At 49.6% G+C, this 19,877-nt stretch overlaps 1 protein-coding gene across 15 annotated transcripts in view, besides 12 other annotated features; it reads right to left on the minus strand.

The window, feature by feature from the left end:
• Positions 2,113–2,654: an enhancer, noted in NCBI's record as "H3K4me1 hESC enhancer chr2:70365403-70365944 (GRCh37/hg19 assembly coordinates)". NCBI's record gives its function as "activates a minimal SCP1, AML or CMV promoter by ChIP-STARR-seq in primed H9 embryonic stem cells {active_cell/tissue: H9 hESC(primed)}" and the evidence as "EXISTENCE:reporter gene assay evidence [ECO:0000049][PMID:30033119]".
• Positions 2,655–3,196: an enhancer, noted in NCBI's record as "H3K4me1 hESC enhancer chr2:70365945-70366486 (GRCh37/hg19 assembly coordinates)". NCBI's record gives its function as "activates a minimal SCP1, AML or CMV promoter by ChIP-STARR-seq in primed H9 embryonic stem cells {active_cell/tissue: H9 hESC(primed)}" and the evidence as "EXISTENCE:reporter gene assay evidence [ECO:0000049][PMID:30033119]".
• Positions 2,655–3,233: a biological region, named in NCBI's record as "Sharpr-MPRA regulatory region 12614".
• Positions 2,939–3,233: a silencer, noted in NCBI's record as "tiled region #12614; K562 Repressive DNase matched - State 5:Enh". NCBI's record gives its function as "represses a minimal TATA promoter and a strong SV40 promoter by Sharpr-MPRA in K562 cells {active_cell/tissue: K562}" and the evidence as "EXISTENCE:reporter gene assay evidence [ECO:0000049][PMID:27701403]".
• Positions 4,821–5,360: an enhancer, noted in NCBI's record as "OCT4-NANOG-H3K27ac-H3K4me1 hESC enhancer chr2:70368111-70368650 (GRCh37/hg19 assembly coordinates)". NCBI's record gives its function as "activates a minimal SCP1, AML or CMV promoter by ChIP-STARR-seq in naive H9 embryonic stem cells {active_cell/tissue: H9 hESC(naive)}" and the evidence as "EXISTENCE:reporter gene assay evidence [ECO:0000049][PMID:30033119]".
• Positions 4,999–5,293: a silencer, noted in NCBI's record as "tiled region #4230; HepG2 Repressive non-DNase unmatched - State 1:Tss". NCBI's record gives its function as "represses a minimal TATA promoter and a strong SV40 promoter by Sharpr-MPRA in HepG2 cells {active_cell/tissue: HepG2}" and the evidence as "EXISTENCE:reporter gene assay evidence [ECO:0000049][PMID:27701403]".
• Positions 5,781–6,490: a silencer, noted in NCBI's record as "silent region_11607". NCBI's record gives its function as "represses an Ori minimal core promoter by ATAC-STARR-seq in GM12878 lymphoblastoid cells {active_cell/tissue: GM12878}" and the evidence as "EXISTENCE:reporter gene assay evidence [ECO:0000049][PMID:35858748]".
• Positions 6,581–6,940: an enhancer, noted in NCBI's record as "active region_15998". NCBI's record gives its function as "activates an Ori minimal core promoter by ATAC-STARR-seq in GM12878 lymphoblastoid cells {active_cell/tissue: GM12878}" and the evidence as "EXISTENCE:reporter gene assay evidence [ECO:0000049][PMID:35858748]".
• Positions 6,951–7,090: an enhancer, noted in NCBI's record as "active region_15999". NCBI's record gives its function as "activates an Ori minimal core promoter by ATAC-STARR-seq in GM12878 lymphoblastoid cells {active_cell/tissue: GM12878}" and the evidence as "EXISTENCE:reporter gene assay evidence [ECO:0000049][PMID:35858748]".
• Positions 7,421–7,470: a silencer, noted in NCBI's record as "silent region_11608". NCBI's record gives its function as "represses an Ori minimal core promoter by ATAC-STARR-seq in GM12878 lymphoblastoid cells {active_cell/tissue: GM12878}" and the evidence as "EXISTENCE:reporter gene assay evidence [ECO:0000049][PMID:35858748]".
• Positions 10,133–10,182: an enhancer, noted in NCBI's record as "active region_16000". NCBI's record gives its function as "activates an Ori minimal core promoter by ATAC-STARR-seq in GM12878 lymphoblastoid cells {active_cell/tissue: GM12878}" and the evidence as "EXISTENCE:reporter gene assay evidence [ECO:0000049][PMID:35858748]".
• Positions 12,775–13,304: an enhancer, noted in NCBI's record as "H3K27ac-H3K4me1 hESC enhancer chr2:70376065-70376594 (GRCh37/hg19 assembly coordinates)". NCBI's record gives its function as "activates a minimal SCP1, AML or CMV promoter by ChIP-STARR-seq in primed H9 embryonic stem cells {active_cell/tissue: H9 hESC(primed)}" and the evidence as "EXISTENCE:reporter gene assay evidence [ECO:0000049][PMID:30033119]".
• Positions 13,727–19,877, minus strand: part of C2orf42 (chromosome 2 open reading frame 42) — a 41,135-nt gene continuing 34,984 nt past the window's right edge. For 12 of the 15 annotated variants that reach the window (NR_145967.2, NR_145969.2, NR_145971.2 and 9 more), the window contains one exon: positions 13,727–14,406. Coding sequence is in view for 9 of the 15 variants with exons in the window: in NM_017880.3 (NP_060350.1) it covers positions 14,198–14,406 (209 nt within the window). In the remaining 6 variants the exon portion in view is untranslated. Of the gene's footprint in view, positions 14,407–16,530; positions 16,711–19,877 lie in introns of all 15 variants that reach the window. The other 3 variants (NR_145968.2, NR_145970.2, NR_145972.2) reach the window with 2 other exon arrangements.

Consider the following 19,877-nt stretch of genomic DNA (forward strand, 5'->3'; position numbering starts at 1 on the left):
TTCTTAGAACTATATAGTGTTTATATTTGGGGTCTAGGGTAAAATTCCATTTTCATCTATCATTGCAACTGGCTTTTCTGGCTTTCTCTTTTGGAGATCTTGGCTTATTTTTCCCCAGGGAGTGAGTCATATTCACAAACACGCCTTATCTCCTGGGACACAACCTGGTCAGTTAGCTACCCCAACTCACAGAAAATGATCACAAAGATTTTGTGTCCCTTTTACTTTTTTTTTTTTTTTTTTTTTGAGATGGAGTTTCGCTCTTGTTGCCCAGGCTGGAGTGCAATGGCATGATCTCGGCTCACCGCAACCTCCGCCTCCCGGGTTCAAACGATTCGCCTGCCTCAGCCTACTGAGGAGCTGGGATTACAGGCACCCGCCATCACGCCTGGCTAAGTTTTGTATTTTTAGTAGAGACGGGGTTTCACCATGTTGGCCAGACTGGTCTCTAACTCCTGACCTAAGGTGATCCACCCGCCTCAGCCTCCCAAAGTGCTGGAATTACAGGCGCGAGCCATCGCGTCTGGCCCCCTTTTACCTTTATATCACTCACTTCCACAAAATTTATTTAAAATTTAGAGGAAAACCTCTGTACTTCCTCCTGCCTCCCACCCCTTGTTTTTTTTATTAATTTTTTTTTTTGAGACAGACTCTTGCTCTGTCACCAGGCTGGAGTGCGGTGGCACAATATCAATTCACTACAACCTCCGCCACCCGGGTTCAAGCAATTCCCCTGCCTCAGCCTCCCAAGTCGCTGGGATTACAGGCACCCATCACTACCCCCGGCTAATTTTTTGTATTTTAGTAGAGACGGGGTTTCACCATGTTGGCAAAGATGGTCTTGATCTCCTGACCTCGTGATCTGCCAGCCTCAGCCTCCCAAAGTGCTGGGATTACAGGCGTGAGCCACCGTGCCTGGCCCCCTTGTTTTAATTTTCTCCGTAGCACTTGTCACTATCGACATACTAGATAGCTTATTCATTTGTTCATCATTCATTCATTGTTTGTCTCTCTCTCTTTCCTCACTGGAATGTAAACTTTTGGCCAGACATGGTGGCTCACACCTGTAATCCCAGCACTTTTGGAGGCCGAGGCTGGCAGATCACTTAAGGTCAGGAGTTCAAGAACAGCCTCTGGCCAACATGGTGAAACCCCATCTCTACTAAAAATACAAAAAAAATTAGCCAGGCATGGTGGTGCATGCCTGTAGGCTGCAGTGAGCCGAGATTGCGCCACTGCACTCCAGCCTGGGTGACAGAACCAGACTCCATCTCAAAAAAAAAAAAAAAAAAAAAAAGAATGTAAACTTTTTGAGGGCAGGGCTTTTGTTTGTTTTGTATATTGCTGTATTCCCAGGCCCAGCTCAGTGCCTGGCACATAAAAAATACTCAATAAAGGTTGAACAAATAAATTGGTGAATAAATAGTTGATTTTTCCTTCCTTGTCTGAGGCCTACCACTTCCCTCTCCTGCCACAATGTCTTTCCATTGGCTCAGTCCCTAAGAGATCAGATGACTGTATGTTCTGTGTAAGCTGTGGAGGCGAACCACCAAAACAGTGGGTAGTTCCTCTCCATCTCCTGCATCTCCATCTACTGATAGCACAAACATTTTGCAAGTCCTACTCACCTCCTCTGTGGCACCATCCCTTAACCTCCCACAGTGATCTCACCTTCTTCTGAACTCACAGCATCCAGTGCATGTATCATTCATCTACAATTTAGCACTTTCTGCCTTGTGTGGATAATATAATTCTCCTGAATGTGAGCAAAGCTGGCTTCCTGCACCAACCCCTTCCCCTCTTTCCAGCAGCTCCTCACTTCTTACCTCGCGGAATTTAAACAAGGACCCAGATGTGGGACTTACACTTTCAGGCTGGCCCAGTACGAGGGGACTCATCTCTCAAACACCTAGAGAGTTCACATAATGTTGAGGGACATATAAATCAAATGCCAATTTACTCACACTGAGGAATGACAGATATTCAAAATGGACTGCAACGCTTGAACTGGCCTGACTGGCCGATGTCCCCATGGGCTAAGGATTGCTTAGTAAAATGCAGACTTAGAACAAAAGTAACCAACCTAAAGTCAGGTCTCACTTTTTAAGGCAGAAGATCCTCTTTCCTGCAACAGGAGCAGCAGCCTGACCAAGGAACTCACGGAGCTTACCTGGTCTCCCACTAGCCTTGGGTCCTGCCAGGGCTGTACTTGGAAGCACAGGTACTTTCAAGGATGGCCAAACCCCTCCTGTTAAGTTTGCCAAACTGGTTTATAACCCAATTGATTAAACTTCACCTAAATTACAACCACTTTCCAGCCCCTCTCCTATTAGACTATAAGCTCCCGAGGGCCCATGCCTTGCAGGTTTCTTTTTTCTTTTTTTTTTTTGAGATGGAGTTTCGCTCTTGTTGCCCAGGCTGGAGTGCAATGGCACAATCTCGGCTCACCGCAACCTCTGCCTCCCAGGTTCAAGCAATTCTCCTGCCTCAGCCTCCCGAGTAGCTGGGATTACAGGCATGCACCACCATGCCCAGCTAATTTTGTTTTTTTGTTTTTTTGAGACGGAGTCTTGCCCTGTCGCCCAGGCTGTAGTGCAGTGGCGCAGTCTCGGCTCACTGCAACCTCCGCCTCCCAGGTTCAAGTGATTCTCCTGCCCCAGCCTCCCGAGTAGCTGGGATTACAGCCGTGTGCCTCCATGCCCAGCTCATTTTTGCATTTTTAGTAGAGACGGGGTTTCACCATGTCGGTCAGGCTGGTCTAGAACTCCTGACCTCATGATCTGCCCGCCTCGGCCTCCCAAAGTGCTGGGATTACAGGCGTGAGCCACCGCGCCCAGCCTTAATTTTGTATTTTTAGTAGAGATGGGGTTTCTCCATGTTGAGGCTGGTCTCGTACTCCTGACCTCAGGTGGTCCACCCGCCTCGGCCCCCCAAAGTGCTGGGATTACAGGCGTGAGCCACCCCGCCCGGCCAGCAGGTTTCAATAAGTATGTTGTGACAGAAAGGGCCGCTTTGTCAGCAAAGAAAGAAATAGAAAAACTCACTCCGCCCACAGTTTTTTTTAAGAGACAGGGTCTCTCTCCGACGCCCAGGCTGGAGTGTGATCACAGCTCACTGCAGCCTTAATCTCCAGGGCTCAAGCTTTCGTCCTACCCTCAGCCTCCCAGATAGCTAGGACTACAAGCGTGCATCACAACGCTGACTAGTGGTTTTTTTTTTTTTCTTTTTTTAATAGAGATGGGGTTTCACCATGTTGCCCAGGCTGGTCTGGAACTCCTGGGTTCAAGGGATCCTCCCACCTCAGCCTCCCAAATTGCTGGGATTACAGGCATGAGCCACCTCCCCTGGCCTCACTCCCTGTTTAAAGTGTCCCTGGGCCAGGTGCTGTGGCTCATGCCTGTAATCCTAGTGCTTTGGGAGGCTGAGGCGAGAGGATCACTCAAGGCCAAGAATTCCAGACCAGGCTGGGTAGCGTATCGAGACCCCATCTCTACAGAAAATTTTAAAAATTAGCCGGGCGCCGTGGCATGTGCTTGTTGTGGTCCTAGCTACTCAGGACGCTGAGGTGGGATGGTGGCTTGACCCCAGGAGTTTGAGGTTAACTGAGCTATAATTGTGCGACTGCACTTAGCCTGGGCAACAGAGAGGGTCCTTGATCTAAAACAAAACAAAACAAAACAAAAAACAAACAAACAAACAAAACGTGTCCCTGGGTCAATCAGGCTCAACCACTCGTTTTTGTTTTTTTTTTTCTGAGATGGAGTCCTGCTCTGTTGCTCAGGCTGGAGTGCAGTGGTGCGATCTTGGCTCACTGCAACCCCCGCCTTCCGGTTCGAGCAATCCTCCATCCTCCCACCTCAGCCTCCGGAGTAGTTGGGATTACAAGTGTGTGCCACCACACCCAGCTAATGTTTTTATTCTTAGTAAAGACAGGGTTTCACCATGTTGGCCACGCTGGTCTCAAACTTCTGACCTCAAGTGATTTGCCCACTTCAACCTACATCCACTCCTTGATCTGAAACACTGAAGCTACCTGCCTTGTTCAAAGCCAAAAAGCGTCTACCTACAAAGCCCTGGGGATTTTTTGTTTGTTTTATTTGAGACGGAGTCTCACTCGCCCAAGATGGAGGGCAATGGCGTGGTCTTGGCTCCTGACCTTGTGATCTGCCCGCCTGTTTTGAAGGACAAATGCCTGCACCCTTATTTGTTTGCTTTCTCCTGGGAATTTCTCTATCCAATCCTGCAGGCAAGTTGTTTTTTTTTTTTTGGAGACAGAGTCTCGCTCTGTTGCCAGGCTGCAGTGCAGTGGCGCAATCTCGGCTCACTGTAATCTCCGCCTCCCTGGTTCAAGCGATTCTCCTGCCTCAGCCTCCTGAATAGCTGGGACTACAGGCACGCGCCACCACGTCCAGCTGATTTTTGTATTTTCAGTAGAGACGGGGTTTCATTATGTTTGCCAGGATGGTCTCGATCTTGACCTCGTGATCCGTCTGCCTCGGCCTCCCAAAGTGCTGGGATTACAGGCATGAGACACCGTGCCCAGCGACAAGATAATTTTAAAAGGAGAGGGAACGTCTGCTTTTGTTGCCTTTCTCGTCTTTTGTGGTTCCACATACAACACAGCAGTGTCTATGGGCTGTCAATCGCAACATAATGCAAACAACACAATTGTCTCTGGGGTCCACTGAATCCAAATCACACACGCACCACACTTCTGCCTTTTGCACTGCTGACTGCCAAGTGAACAATGTTTTGTAGAAGCAGCAAGTGTGAGGAGAGGTGACTTCTGCCAGATGGTGCTAAAAAAGACCCAAGTCTGATACACAGGAGTCCTTCCATTAACCCATCCATGACCAAAGCAAAGTGTGTGTGGGGTGAGGGGTAGAAGGAATTGCCCTGTCTTTGCCCTCTGGGGCTTCTTCTGCCTCGAACACTATCCATCTGCCACCTAACCTGGTTTTGCCTTGATATAAATGGTAGCGGTGGCCAAGAGAATGGGGTGACAGAGGGGGGGAAACCCACGGTGTTACATGCTTTCACCCATACCCTCCAGGATGGCCCTGAGCGTCTCACACCCTAGGGGCCTGACCAGGTACTGACACTTTCTTGCCAAAGCCCTACAACCATCACCTCCCTACTGTGAAATGTGAGGTAAGTTGCTTAAACCGGCGGAACCAGTTTCCTCAACTACATAGAGGGATGATGATTCCCCCTAGCTCACAGGACCGCTGTGGGAATCAAATGAGATCACTCATGTGAAAAGCCTAGCACAACCCCTGACACATGACACAAGCACTTCAGGACATATTCATGTTCCTCCTTCCAGGACAGGGCCTTACACTGTCTACTCTGGTAAACCAGCCTCATATAAGCTCCTGGAGGCTGGCGTGTCCCCAGGGGTCAGGCCATCCCAGAAACGATGACTTGACCATAGTCACGTCATGAGGTGAGAGATTCCGGGAAGGGGCAGCAAGAGGAGAAAGAAGCGAAGGGCGCCCCAAGGTAATGTGTGCCCTACACAGGGCTCCTAGCCATAAGCACTTATGCAAGTGCGGGGCACAGAGAAAATTCTGGTAACACTCCTCCCCTCAATTCTGATCAGGTCCCAGGCTCAACTAATCAGTTCAGGGATGGGCCCTTTGCCACCTTTTTCCTAACCAAAGCCACTCTCAAGGGGAAACTTCTATTAACGGCCAGTAAGCAAGACACACAACGCTTTTTGTTTGAAGGACTACCCAGGCGTTAGTGCCCTTCCAGACCGGCTCTAGTGACTGGCGGGGAAGAAGGGGAAAAAGAATTAGTGTATCTGGACACAACACCCAGCATGTGCTAGGCAGAAACTAAGTGTGCGAAGCGGATCCCGATGTACAAAGGGGAAAACAGCGGCTGGGAAAGCCTGAGCCACGGGCTCCAGGCGGCCAGTCGCGGTCCTCCCGGCGCGTGCCCTCCTCCTCCCCGACCTGGCCGGAGCTGACCGGGGCGGGTGTAGGCCCGGGGGCGGGAGGGCTACTGGATCCCAGGTGGGGCGGGTGTAGGCCCGGGGACGGGAGGGCGACGGGATCCCAGGTAGGGCGGGGCCTGGCTCCGGGCGCGACGGCTCTTTGCTCGCAGCGCCGCGCCGTCTCGAGGTCGGGGTGCGGCCCGACCCCACGTGCCCCAAATCCCCCCCGCTGCCCTGTAAAACCTGCGGGCCCCGGTCCAGGCGTGGTCCCGCTCGCACGAGGGAGCGGTCGCCCAGGGTGCCGGGAAGTCGGGGACCGGCCAGCCGCCGACCGGCCGCACCCCTCCCCGCCGAGCTCGCGCGCCCGCCTCGTCAGCACCTTTCCCGCAGCGCAGCCCCACAGTGGTCACGAGGCGGGCGCGGCCCGGTCAGCCCTGGCTAGACTAGGCATCGGCACCACCCACCTCGCCCCTCCCCGTCCCGCTGGTTTCCCCTCCCCCTCCTTCCCCTCCCCCTCTCTGTTCTCCTTCCCCTCCCGATCCCCGGGCGGGCCGCAGCGCGCCACGTACCTGGCCCCGCCCCTGCGAGCCACGCAGGGAACCCCGGTGACGTCACCACCCTCCGGCGCTCTCATTCCCGCGCTCTCCAGAAAAGACGCGAAGGTGGTGACGTGTCCCGTGCGCCAGGGCGGCTGCGCAGGAGGCATTGGCAACTGAGCGTCCTGCGGCGCCGCCTGGTGGAAGCAAAGCAGCCGAGCCCCCCGGAAGCGGCGGCGCGGGCGAGTGGAGAACGTGACTTACGTCATCTGGCGGAGGCGTGGGGGCGGCTGCCGCGTGACCAGCCCCAGCCAGGCGCGGTCGGCGCGTTTCTCTTTCTCTTCTCCTACTCTCAGCGGAGCGGGTGGAAGCTTGATTTCATGCCGTTTATTTTACTTTGACTGTTTTCAAACCTATCAAGTTAATATTGTTAATTATAGAAAACGTGGGGGGAAAAGGGAAAAGATAGGTAGAAAATGATTCTTAGCATCCCCAAGCATCTTTAACCTTTCATTATGTTTACTTCCAGCCTTTTTCATGAAACAAAATTGTGGTCTGACTGTATACAGTGGTATTAACTACAAAGATTCCTAAGAAGGGACAAAAAGCACCTTTTAGCTTCAAGGCTAATTTAGAGGAACAGGTAGAAGAGGAAAAGTTCAAACAATGGACAAAATGAGTGATTCGTCCACGGTATCTAATCACTGTTCACATCATCCGGAGGAAACGGGCTCAGAGTCATGCCCAAGGCCGCGCATAAAAGAGTGGCAGACTGGGGTTTCAAACCCAGGCTCTAAACTGTGAACCTGCAAGATGGTGGGAGTGGGGAAGACAGTGAAAAGTTGTGCAGGGAATTCACAGAACTACAGAACCCACTTTGTACTTCTGGAACTGCTGAGTGGGGAACTAGTTCTAAGGAACAAGGTTAGTGCCCCAGCAGTTGGAGCAGTTTGGTGAGAGAGTGGCACAAAGCTGACACTGGTACATGGCCCTGGCCACTAGTTGTTAAGTTCCACCCATCTCCAGCACTGCCCTCCCCATGAGTGACAGTGAAAGGTGGGAGGGACGTTACAGGACTGTATCAGGCATTAGACCTGCTACTCCAAGTGCAGTCTGGTGCAGTCTGCAGGCCAGCAGCCTCCCTGCTGTCCAGCACTTTCCGCATCACTTGGAAGCTTGATGGAAATGCAGAATCTTGGACCACACTTTAAAGCTTCTGAATCGGGCGGCATGCGATGCCTCATGCTTGTAATCCCAGCACTTTGGGAGGCCAAGGTGGGTGGATCACCTGAGGTCAGGAGTTTTGAGACCACCCTGGCCAACATGTTGGCCCCGTCTCTACTAAACCCCATCTCTACTAAAAGTACAAAAATTAGCCGGGCATGGTGGCGGGCGCCTGTAATCCCAGCTACTTGGGAGGCTGAGACAGGAGGATCGCTTGAACCCGGGAGGCAGAGGTTGCATTGAGCCAAAACTGTTCCGTTGCACTCCAGCCTGGGCAACCAAGATGTCCCTTCTTAGGAACCTTTGTAGTTAATACCACTGTATACAGTCAGACCACAATTTTGTTTCATGAAAAAGGCTGGAAGTAAACATAATGAAAGGTTAAAGATGCTTGGGGGTGCTAAGAATCATTTTCTACCTATCTTTTCCCTTTTCCCCCCACGTTTTTGAAACTCTGTCTCAAAAAATTTAAAAAATAAAGCTTCTACATCAAAATACGCATTTTAACTAGGTCCCTGGGTGATTCCTGTGCACATTGAAGTTTGAGAAGTGCTGTTGTAAATAAAGTAAGTCGTCCTGCTCGCTTGGTACAGCAGGTGGGATGGTAGATGCGAAGGGCGCTTGCAGAACTGGATGATGGGAAGACAGGCAGGCAGGGAGCAAGGTCGGTAAGGAGGATTAAAAAAAAATCAAGGCTGGGCGCGGTGGCTTACGCCTGCAATCGCTGCGCTTTGGGAGGCCAAAGCAGGCGGATCACCTGAGGTCGGGACTTCGAGACCAGGCTGACCAACAGGGAGAAACCCCGTCTCTACTAAAAATACACAATTAGCCGGGCATGGGTGGCGCATGCCTGTAATCCCAGCTACTGGTGAGGCCGAGGCAGGAGAACTGCTTGAACCCGGCAGGTGGAGGTTATGGTGAGCCGAGATCATGCCATTGCACTCCAGTCTGGGCAACAAGAGCGAAACTGCGTCTCAAAAAAAAAAAAAAATTCCTACGAGTGTCAGAAAATATGATCTGCCACAAAGGAAAACCAGGAAATCAGAATCTGGGAGCTAAAGGAAGAAGAAATAGGTGAAGCAGGTAAGCAGATCTCTTGAGAAAATTCACTAATAGACAAAGGGCTGCCCCCCTGTGGGTGATTTTTTTGTGTTGTCTGTGACTTACAGGGTCTAGTTATTATAATTCACAGAGCTTAGGGAGAGCAGCCCCTGCCCATCCCCTCCAGCAGGGTATAGTGAGATTTCTCTGGGTTCTTCTAGCTGAGGGCATATTCTGGGCGTTTTTGGACAGGGGAGAACCAGGGATAGGAGGAGCTGGCTGAGGTTCTGACAGAACAGTGTCTGTTGGATGAGGGCTGGAGTATGTATGGTGTGCGCTTGTGTATGCACATGTGGGCTGGAGGGAAGGGCAGGGCATTGGCACCAACCCAGGACAGCAGTCACTGAAAGATGGGGTGAATTTAGGTGATTGGGAATTAGTGGGCCCACAAAGCCACAGGGCTGATGACATCTGGTACCTTGAAAGTCAGGTGGCAGGCCTACAGATCTCTTGGGTGGATAGTTCTTGGAGTTAGAGTTTGGAGGTCCCCAAGTAGCTTCTAAATATTAGCAATCTGGCTGGGCGCCGTGACTCACGCCTGTAATCCCAGCACACTTTGGGAGGTCGAGGCAGGTGGATCACCTGAGGTCAGGAGTTCAAGACCAGCCTGGCCAACACGGTGAAACCCCATCTCTACTAAAAATACAAAAATTAGCTGGGTGTGGTGGCGCATGCCTGTAATCCCAACTACTCGGGAGGCTGGGGCAGAAGAATTGCTTGAATCCGGGAGGCGGAGGTTGTAGTGAGCCGAGATTGCGCCACTGCACTCCAGCCTAGGTGACAGAGCGGGACTCCATCTCAAAAAAGAAAAAAATTTGTATATATATATGCAATCTGTTTTATATATATATATAAGCAATCTGTTGAGACAACAGTAGTACTGGTAGAGGCAGGGCCATAGTAGATTAGAACCAGAGTGTTCTGAGTGGAGGAGTAGCAAGTTGTTGTTCTCATGAGGATGTCAGGGGCCCCAGCCATGTTGCCTGGAGGAGGAAGAGTTAAGAAGGCATCCCTCTCAGACCTATTGATACACTTAGTCTGAGAATGATCAGTCTGTGCGGTAGACAGGAGGCCGTGTGGGTATGGAGGGTTTTAAGCTGTTCTCTCCAGAATACAAATGGTGGCTTAGCTTGGAGAGGCAGCACCTGGGCAGTCCTTAGAGATCCCATTGACTGATGGAGGAGGGGTGCAATGGACAGTACACGTGGGAATGTGTATGGGTGGGGAGGTAGGTGGATGCGGGGTTTGAGGAGTGCTGCTGTGGGAGTATCTAGGACGACTCTGGGAGAGAGTGGGGCAGGCCCGAAATGAGATCAACACTGATGTTGTCCCAGAGGTGTCTGGAGGCTGGGAGTGGGTGCAGCAGTTCTGCTGGTCCTCCTAGGCCCGTGCTTGACTTGGTAGAGGGGGTGTCAAGTTAGAAAAAAAGGGGTGACTCTGAACTCCATTCCAGATTGTGATGGGCTGTGATAGTGTCCTGGAGTGGTGCTGGGGGGAAGATCTGACTGCTTGAGCAGAGTCCTCTTTGGGTGGATGATTTGCTCCACCCGTGTGTTTTGTGGCCCCTGTGGTTCTTCTGAGTCATTCAGGTATTACTAGAGCAGGCATCTGCCTGTCACCCACAGGTGTGTTTTGTGAAAAAGCTGTGACTGATGTCCTCCAAGTTTTCAGGTTGAAGGATTTCTCAGGATGGCCAACCACGGTCTTTCCTTGGGTGTTCCTGCTCTTCAGGCAAGCCTCTGCCTTATCTAGTTTTTGTTTGTTTGTTTTTTTTTTTTTTTGAGATGAGTCTCGCCTCTATGGCCAGGGTGGAGTGCAGTGGTGCGATCTTGGCTCACTGCAACCTCTGCCTCCCAGGTTCAAGCGATTCTCCTGCCTCAGCCTCCCGAGTAGCTGGGACTACAGGCACGCGCCAACACGCCTGGCTAATTTTTGTATTTTTAGTAGAGACGGGGTTTCACCATGTTGGCCAGGATGGTCTCAATCTCTTGATCTTGTGATCTGCCCACCTCAGCCTCCCAAAGTGCTGGGATTACAGGCATGAGCCACTGTGCCGGGCATGCCTCATCTAGTTTTATCTTCTCCACCTATCCAAACCCTTCCTCTCCTTTGAAGCCCAATTCAAGTTCTAGGTCTCTGTGCACCTCCCTGGATTCTCAACAATTTTCCCTATTGTCTGACGCACTTAGGAGCTGACACAAACCAGCCCCTCAATCCCAGAGGGTAGACAACACAATGTGGTTATTCCTTCTCTTTTAGAGGCATAGTACCTCTCTTACCAAAAATGTCTCCCCCTCTGTTAGGCCAATCAGTGCCTTTTTGGGGGCTGGGAGGGGTTCTGCCTTTTGGATCAGAGAGTGGAGCAGTGAGTCCTGCTCCAGTGAGGAAGCCATACATTCAGGCACTTCAGGAGCCAGAATTCCTACTAGGGGAGCTGCTCTGTGCTGAGATCAAATGAAGCCCCAGAGAGAGGCAGAAATGGGTCAGATGGACCCTAGCTCCACAGGTCCCGAGGCCCAGCCACATCAGCTCCAGCCCAGTGTGGTTGTCTAGCTCTGCTTTAGTGTCCACAAGCCAGTCATTCATACCTATTTTGCCCAAGCTGGTTAACTGGCTTTCTGTCACTCGCAATTCAAAGTACCTGGTATGGCCGAGCGTGGTGGCTCACGCCTGTAATCCCAGCACTTTGGGAGGTCGAGGAGGGCAGATCACGAGGTCAGGAGTTCAAGACCAGCCTGGCCAACATAGTGAAACCCCGTCTCTACTAAAAATACAAAAAAAAAATAAAAAAAATTAGCTGGGAATAGTGGCGGGTGCCTGTAGTCTCAGCTACTTGGGAGGCTGAGGCAGGAGAATCGCTTGAACCCAGGAGGCGGAGGTTGCAGTGAGCCGAGATCACGCCACTACACTCCAGCCTGGCGACACAGTGAGACTCCATCTCAAAAAACAAACAAAAACAAAGAAAGTACCTGGCACATAGTAGGCATGCAAGAAATGTTCATTCCCTTCTTTCCTCCTTAAAGATAGGCTTATACTTCTGGGTCTTTCAGTATCTCTATTCTGTGATCATTCAATCAGAAACAGCAATTGAATTTTACTAACTGAGAATATATAGAGATACAAGTATGAAGTGAACAAGCTATTACAGGCATTAGTTTTAAACAGCAATATTCCCTTGATACCTGTGAGAGGTGACAGCGTGCTGGCAGTCCTCAGAGCCCTCGCTTGCTCTCGGCACCTCCCCTGCCTGGGCTCCCACTTTGGTGGCATTTGAGGAGCCCTTCAGCCCCCCACTGCACTGTGGGAGCCCCTTTCTGGGCTGGCCAAGGCTGGGAGGTGTGGAGGGAGAGGCACGAGCGGGAACCTGGGCTGTGTGCGGCGCTTGCGGGCCAGCTGGAGTTCCCGGTGGGCGGGGACTTGGTGGGCCCCGCACTCGGAGCAGCCAGCCAGCCCTGCTGGCCCCGGGCAATGGGGCACTTAGCACCTGGGTCAGTGGCTGCGGAGGGTGTACTGGGTCCCCCAGCAGTGCTGGCCCACCAGCGCTGCGCTCGATTTTTCGCCGGGCCTTAGCTGCCTTCCTGCGGGGCAGGGCTTAGGACCTGCGGCCCGCCATGCCTGAGCCTTCCACCCACTCCATGGGCTCCTGTGCGGCCCGAGCCTCCCTGACGAGCACCACCCCCTGCTCCACAGTGCCCAGTCCCATCGACCACCCAAGGGCTGAGGAATGTGAGCGCATGGCGCAGGACTGGCAGGCAGCTCCACCTGCAGCCCCAGTGTGGGATCCACTGGGTGAAGCCAGCTGGGCTCCTGAGTCTGGGGGGGAATGTGGAGTCTTTATATCTAGCTCAGGGATTGTAAATACACCAATCAGCACCCTGTGTTTAGCTCAAGGTTTGTGAGTGCACCAGTCGACACTCTGTATCTAGCTGCTCTGGTGGGGACGTGGAGAGTCTTTATATCTAGCTCAGGGATTGTAACTACACCAATCAGCACCCTGTGTTTAGCTCAAGGTTTGTGAGTGCACCAATCAACACTCCGTATCTAGCTGCTCTGGTGAGGATGTGGAGAACCTTTATGTCTAGCTCAAGGATTGTAAATACACCAGTCGGCACTCTGTATCTAGCTCAAGGTTTGTAAACACACCAATCAGCACCCTGTGTTTAGCTCAAGGTTTGTGAGTGCACCAATCGACACTCTGTATCTAGCTGCTATGGTGGGGCCTTGGAGAACCTGTGTGTGGAAACTCTGTATCTAACTAATCTGATGGGGACGTGGAGAACCTTTGTATCTAGCTCAAGGATTGTAAACGCACCAATCAGCACCCTGACAAAACAGGCCACTCGGCTCTACCAATCAGCAGGATGTGGGTGGGGCCAGATAAGAGCATAAAAGCAGGCTGCCAGAGCCAGCATTGACAACCCGCTCGGGTCCCCTTCCACACTGTGGAAGCTTTGTTCTTTCGCTCTTTGCAATAAATCTTGCTACTGCTCTCACTCTTTGGGTCCATGCTGCTTTTATGAGCTGTAACACTCACCGCGAAGATCTGCAGCTTCACTCCTTAGCCCAGCGAGACCACGAGCCCACCGGGAGGAATGAACAACTCCAGACGCGCTGCCTTAAGAGCTGTAACACTCACCGCGAAGGTCTGCAGCTTCACTCCTGAGCCAGCAAGACCACGAACCCACCAGAAGGAAGAAACTCCGAACGCATCTGAACATCAGAAGGGGCAGACACCAGACGCGCCACCTTAACAGCTGTAACACTCACCGCGAGGGTCCGCGGCTTCATTCTTGAAGTCAGTGAGACCAAGAACCCACCAATTCCGGACACACCTGGATCTCTTTTTCCAGTATCACTATCAGTTAAATCCCGCCTCCCCCCCCCGAAATTTATAATTTTATAAACAGGCAACCATGAGATATAATTAGGAAAAACTAGTGACACTGCTTTATTTGAGAACAGAATAAAGAGCGTGGCTGGAACTCTGCCAAGATGGTCTTTAACATTCTGCCCTAACCAGGGTGTTAACTTTCCAACACTGTTGGTGTATGGCTGAGTGCTGCAGATTTCTCAGAGAATTAGCAAAAGGTTGAAATAAACGCTAAAGATGAGTCCGTAAGAAGGAAAATAAGCTGGTTTTCTTTCTGTTCCTTTTAAAACTCTAGCCAGAAATACTGCCCAATGCATAATGAAGACTGTACACAGCAGCATCAAAAAGGCTATTTACAAGAGATTTTCTTCAACAGAATCCACTTGAAAGCACTGAGAATTTGCATCTTAGCTAAGAGCAGTTTACCAAGGAACAGGGCCATCTAAGTGCCTAACTAGCATTTAAAGTTGTCAAGGGGTGGGGATGTGCAAATTAAGCAGCAAAAGATTATTATCTTGTTTTGCTTTAAGGGAAAGTAATAGTGGTCAGAGGGGCCAGTTCCAAGGGCTGGTCCAAGGGGGGCCGCTGGTCTTGGTACTCCGCCACATGCCCATTCCGGTGGTGGCCATACTCAAACTTGATCCGCAGCTCGCCAATCTTAGATTGGGGAAGGATATCTGGGATCCACTCGATGATGAAAGGTGTTGGCTCCTTTTGATCTGGGGAAGTGTTGCCTAAAGAGAAGAAAGGAGTATTAGTACAATTCCACCTAACTCTAATGGGTGTTCCTAATTGCAAAAAAAGTGTCCGGAATTGGAGCAGCCTGTTCAGCTTTGATAATCAGAAGGCCGAATGAGGTTTATAAATTCAGTGGTGATTGGGATATCAGATTTATTGATCATCATGAAGTTTTTGGGTTATTTTGTTTTTTTTGAGACGGAGTCTCGCTTTGGCACCCAGGCTGGAGTGCAGTGGCGCAATCTCAGTTCACTGCAACCTTTGCCTCCCGGGTTCAAGCGATTCTCCTTCCTCAGCCTCCTGAGTAGCTGGGATTACAGGCACGTGCCACCACACCTGGCTAATTTTTTGTATTTTTAGTAGAGATGGGGTTTCATCGTGTTAGCCAGGATGGCTCAATCTCTTGACCTTGTGATCCGCCCACCTCAGACTCCCAAGTGCTGGGATTACAGGCGTGAGCCACCACGCCCAGCCATCATGAAGTTAAAACATATATATTTAGGCCAGGCATGGTAGTTCATGCCTGTAATCCCAACAGTGTTGGTGGGCAAGGCGAGAGGATAGCTTGAGGCCAGGAGTTTAAGACCAGCCTATGCAACAAAGTGAGACCCTGTCTCTACAAAAAATTAAATTAGCCAGGTGTGGTGAAATGTGCCCATAGTCCCAACTACTTGGGAGACTGAGGTGGGAGGACTGCTTGAACCCAGTAGTTCAATGCCAGCCTGGGCAATACAGTGAGACTTTGTCTCAAAAAAACAAAGTAATACAAGAAAACAAGAAGGATAGGCCAGGGACAGTGGCTTACACCTGTAATTCCAGCACTGTGGGAGGCTGAGGTGGGCGGATCACTTGAGGTCAGGAGTTTGAGACCAGCCTGACCAACACGGCAAAACCGTCTCTACTAAAAATACAAAGATTATCCAGGTGTGGTAGCATGCTCCTGTAATCCCAGTTACTCGGGAGGCTAAGGCAGAAGAATCGCCTGAACCCAGGAGGTGGAGGCTTCAGTGAGCCAAGATCGCACCACTTCACTCCACCCTGGGCAACAGAGTGAGACTCCGCCTCAAAAAACACCCCCAAAAAATAAAAAAACAAGAAGGATGGATTAATTAATGTATATACATTTTTATATTATAAAAATTAACAATGTATATACATTTTTCTCTCAGCACTACTAAATCTTTGACTTCATAAGCTAATATTTTACTTTTTTGTTTGTTTGTTTGTTTTTTGAGATGGAGTATTGCTCTGTTGCCCAGGCTGGAGTGCAGTGTTGCAATCTCGGTTCACTGCAACCTCCACCTCCTGGGTTCAGGTGATTCTCCAGCCTTCCAAGTAGCTGGGACTACAGGCACGCACCACCATGTCCAGCTAATTTTTGTATTTTTAGTAGAGACAGGGTTTCAGCAGGTTGGCCAGGCTGGTCTCGAACTCCTGACCTCTGATGATCCTCCCACCTCAGCCTCCCAGAGTGTGGGGATTACAGGCGTGAGCCACTGCGCCTGGCTTATATTTTACTTTTAACTTCACTATGTTACTCTCCCTCCACTTTAGCCTAAATAGTCACCCCTTTTAAATTCCTTCCCTCTACTTCTTTTGGTCCTTTCTCACAAAGACTAAGACATCACTGATATGATGAGAAACAAAGCATCCATCCACCCACCCCAGACTAACAACTTCATTGGCAGGGTATTTTGGTCTGTTTGGTTTCTTTTAGTCATAGAATATAAATGTTAGGTATTATCTAGTTCATGTTTGTCACAGACATTCTAGCTTCCATTTCAAATGATATCTGGAGCTGCTGCCAACTTTTCACTTAAATATCAATGAAGACATAGAAAAAGATAAAAACTTACAACTGATGAACACTAAGACTACTGGCAGCTTCTGGGAGGAAATATAAAACAGGTGGAGATGGATGGAAAGAAACCTACCCAGACTTTGGCCATAGCATATCCCATCTTTCCTTCATAAAGGGAGGCTACATGGAAAAAGGCAGGAAAATACTTTGTCTCTCTCACTGTTTGTGCCCTGGCTAGTACTTGTACAGAGCAGCAAATGAGCAGCGCCACTTCGTTTCCTTTAGAACATCTCACACACACCCCTCCCCACTCATGTACCTGAATTCTTGATGACTGCAAAGGGGACTTGGAGGAGAGTAGGTGCATTTAAGGTGAATAGCAGGGCCAGGTGCAGTCGCTCACGTCTGTAAACCCAGCACTTTGGGAGGCCAAGCCGGGCAGATCATGAGGTCAGGAGTTCGAGACCAGCCTGATCAAGATGGTGAAACTCCGTCTCTACTAAAAATACAAAAATTAGCCAGGCGTGGTGGCACGCCCCTGTAATCCCAGCTACTCAGAAGGCTGAGATAAAAGAATTGCTTGAACCTGGGAGGCAGGGGTTGCAGTGAGCCAAGATCGCACCACTGCACTCCAGCCTAGGCAACAGAGCAAGACTCCATCTCAAAAAAAAAAAAAAAGTGAATAGCAGTGGCAGAGTGTGTTCTGGAAGGTACAGTCTGCACTAGTAAAGCAATTTGGGTGTGAGAAGGAGGAGAAACCCTTGAAAACTATATATGCGGGGAATCTTAGTTTTGTGTGTTTTTTTCCTATATTCCATTATTAGCAATGAAGGAGGCAGAGATGGTCAGGAGATGCCACTGTGGTAGGAAAGAGAAACATTAGATCTGAGAACTCTGCATCAGCGCTCCACATACAGATCTGAGAGGGAGCCAGCCATCATGCAGGAGTGGTCCCAAGCAACCTGCCTGTTACCAGAATTTGAGTCTGGACAGATCTTTTTTTTTTTTTTTTTGAGACAGAGTTTTGCTCTGTCGCCAGGCTGTAGTGGTGCGATCTCGGCTCACTGCAAGCTCTGCCTCCCAGGTTCATGCCATTCTCCTGCCTCAGCCTCCTGAGTAGCTGGGACTACAGGCGCCCGCCACCACGCCCAGCTAATTTTTTTGTATTTTTAGTAGAGATGGGGTTTCACCATGTTAGCCAGGATGGTCTCGATCTCCTGACCTCGTGATCCACCCGCCTTGGCCTCCCAAAGTCTGGACAGATCTTAATCTGTTCAGTAATAAGTAAAGAAAAGAACAGGAAATTAAAAAAAAAAAAAACTACATAAGGAAAAGGGAGTAAACAGCTAGAAGAATCAAAGGAAGGGAAAGCAATGACTGATATATCTATCCAAAAGAAAATTTAAACGGCCGGGCGCGGTGGCTCATGCCTGTAATCCCAGCATTTTGGGAGGCCGAGGCGGGTGGATCACGAGGTCAGGAGTTCGAGACCAGCCTGGCCAATGTGGTGAAACCCCGTCTTTACTAAAAATACAAAAATTAGCTGGGCGTGGTGGCGGGCTAATCCCAGCTACTCGGGAGGCTGAGGCAGGAGAATCGCTTGAACCCGGGAGGTGGAGGTTGCAGTGAGCCGAGATCGCGCCACTGCACTCCAGCCTGGGTGACAGAGCAAGACTCTGTCTCAAAAAAACAAACAAACAAACAAAAAAAAAAACACAGAAATTTCAGGGAACTGTTTAGCATCCACAAAAGAAAAAAAATAAGATCCAGCCTTTATGAAAGTAAGGCCAGAATCATTAAGGAGAGCTCAGACTGGGAGGAAAAGGCAGCTGGATGAGAGTAAAAGGAAGACGAACAAGAAAAGGCCAAATTTCAAGAATCACAAAGAATAGAATTAAAATCTACATGGTCAGCTGGGCACAGTGGCTCATGCCTGTAATCCCAGCACTTTGAGAGGATCAGGGTGGAGGATCACTTGAGGTCAGGAGTTCAAGACCAGCCTGGGCAACATAGTAAGACCCCCATCTCTGTAAGAAATTTTTACTAAAAAAAAAAAAAAAAAAAAAAAAAAAAAAATCTGACATGGTTCTAAAATATATTATAAACCCGTAATAACCCAAAGAGTGTGGTACTAGCATGCATCTAGACAGATTAAAGGAAGAAAACAGAAAGATTAGAAATAGACACAAATACAACAGGAATTTAGCCTAAGATAAAGATGGCATTTGTAACTACTAAAAGAAGAACAAATAAGTGTTTCTTCTAATAAATGGTTTGTATCAACCAGATATCCATCTGGAAGAAAATAAAAGGTGGTAGAATCTTACCTATAACTTACCTAACTTACATCATGATAAATTCCAGAGAATCAAAGTTTTTTGTTTTGTTTTGTTTTGTTTTGTTTGAGACAAGGTCTTGCTCTGTCACCTAGGCTGGAGCGTAGTGACACAATCATGGCTCACTGCAGCCTCGACCTCCAGGGCCCAAGCGATCCTCCCACCTCAGCCTCCAAAGTAGCTGGGACCACAGGCATGTACCACCATTCCTGGCTAATTTTTTTTTTTTTGAAAGTAAGTTTATTAAGAAAGTAAAGGAGGCCGGGCATGGTGGCTCACGCCTGTAATCCAGCACTTTGGGAGGCCAAGGCGGGCAGATCACAAGGTCAAGAGATCAAGACCATCCTGGCCAACATGGTGAAACCCCGTCTCTACTAAAAATACAAAAATTAGCTGGGCATGATGGCACAGGCCTGTAGTCCCAGCTACTAAGGAGGCTGAGGCAGAAGAATTGCTTGAACCTGGGAGGTGGAGGTTGCAGTGAGCAAGATCGCACCACTGCACTCCAGCCTGGTGTCAGAGCAAGACTCCATCTAAAAAAATAAAAAATAAAAAGAAGGTAAAAAGAAGGTAAAGGAATAAAGAATGGCTACTTCATAGGCAGAGGAGCCCCTGGCTAATTTTAAAAATTCTTTTATAGAGATGGGGTCTCCTTGTGTTGCTCAGGCTGGTCTCAAACTCCTGGGCTCAAGCTATCCTCCAACCCCAGCCTCCCAAAGTGCTGGGATTATAGGTGTGAGCTGCTGTGCTCTGTCAGATCAAAGATTTAAACATAGAAGGTTAAAGAATACTTTTGAAAAATACAAAATTAGGCCGGGTGTGGTGGCTCATGCCTGTAATCCCAGCACTTTGGGAGGCCAAAGCGGGTGGATCACCTGAGGTCAGGAGTTCGAGACCAGCCTGACCAATATGGTGAAACCCCATCTCTACTAAAAATACAAAAAATTAGCCAGGCGTGGTGGCGGGTGCCTGTAGTCCCAGCTACTCGGGAGGCTGAGGCAGGAGAATGGCGTGAACCTGGGAGGCGGAGGTTGCAGTGAGCCGAGATTGCGCCACTGCACTCCAGCCTGGGTGACAGAGTGAGACTCCATCTCAAAAAAAAAGAAAAAAAAAAAGAAAAATACAAAATTAAACACTAGCAGAACTAAACTAAGAATATGGTATCACTGGCCGAGTGCAGTGGCTCATGCCTATAATCCCAGCACTTTGGGAGGCTGAGGCGGGCAGATCACCTGAGGTTGGGAATTCAAGACCAGTCTGACCAATGTGGAGAAACCCCATCTCTACTAAAAATACAAAATTAGCTGGGCATGGTGGCACATGCCTGTAA

Source organism: Homo sapiens, chromosome 2, assembly GCF_000001405.40.
Source record: "Homo sapiens chromosome 2, GRCh38.p14 Primary Assembly".
Classification (NCBI taxonomy): Eukaryota; Metazoa; Chordata; class Mammalia; order Primates; family Hominidae; genus Homo; species Homo sapiens.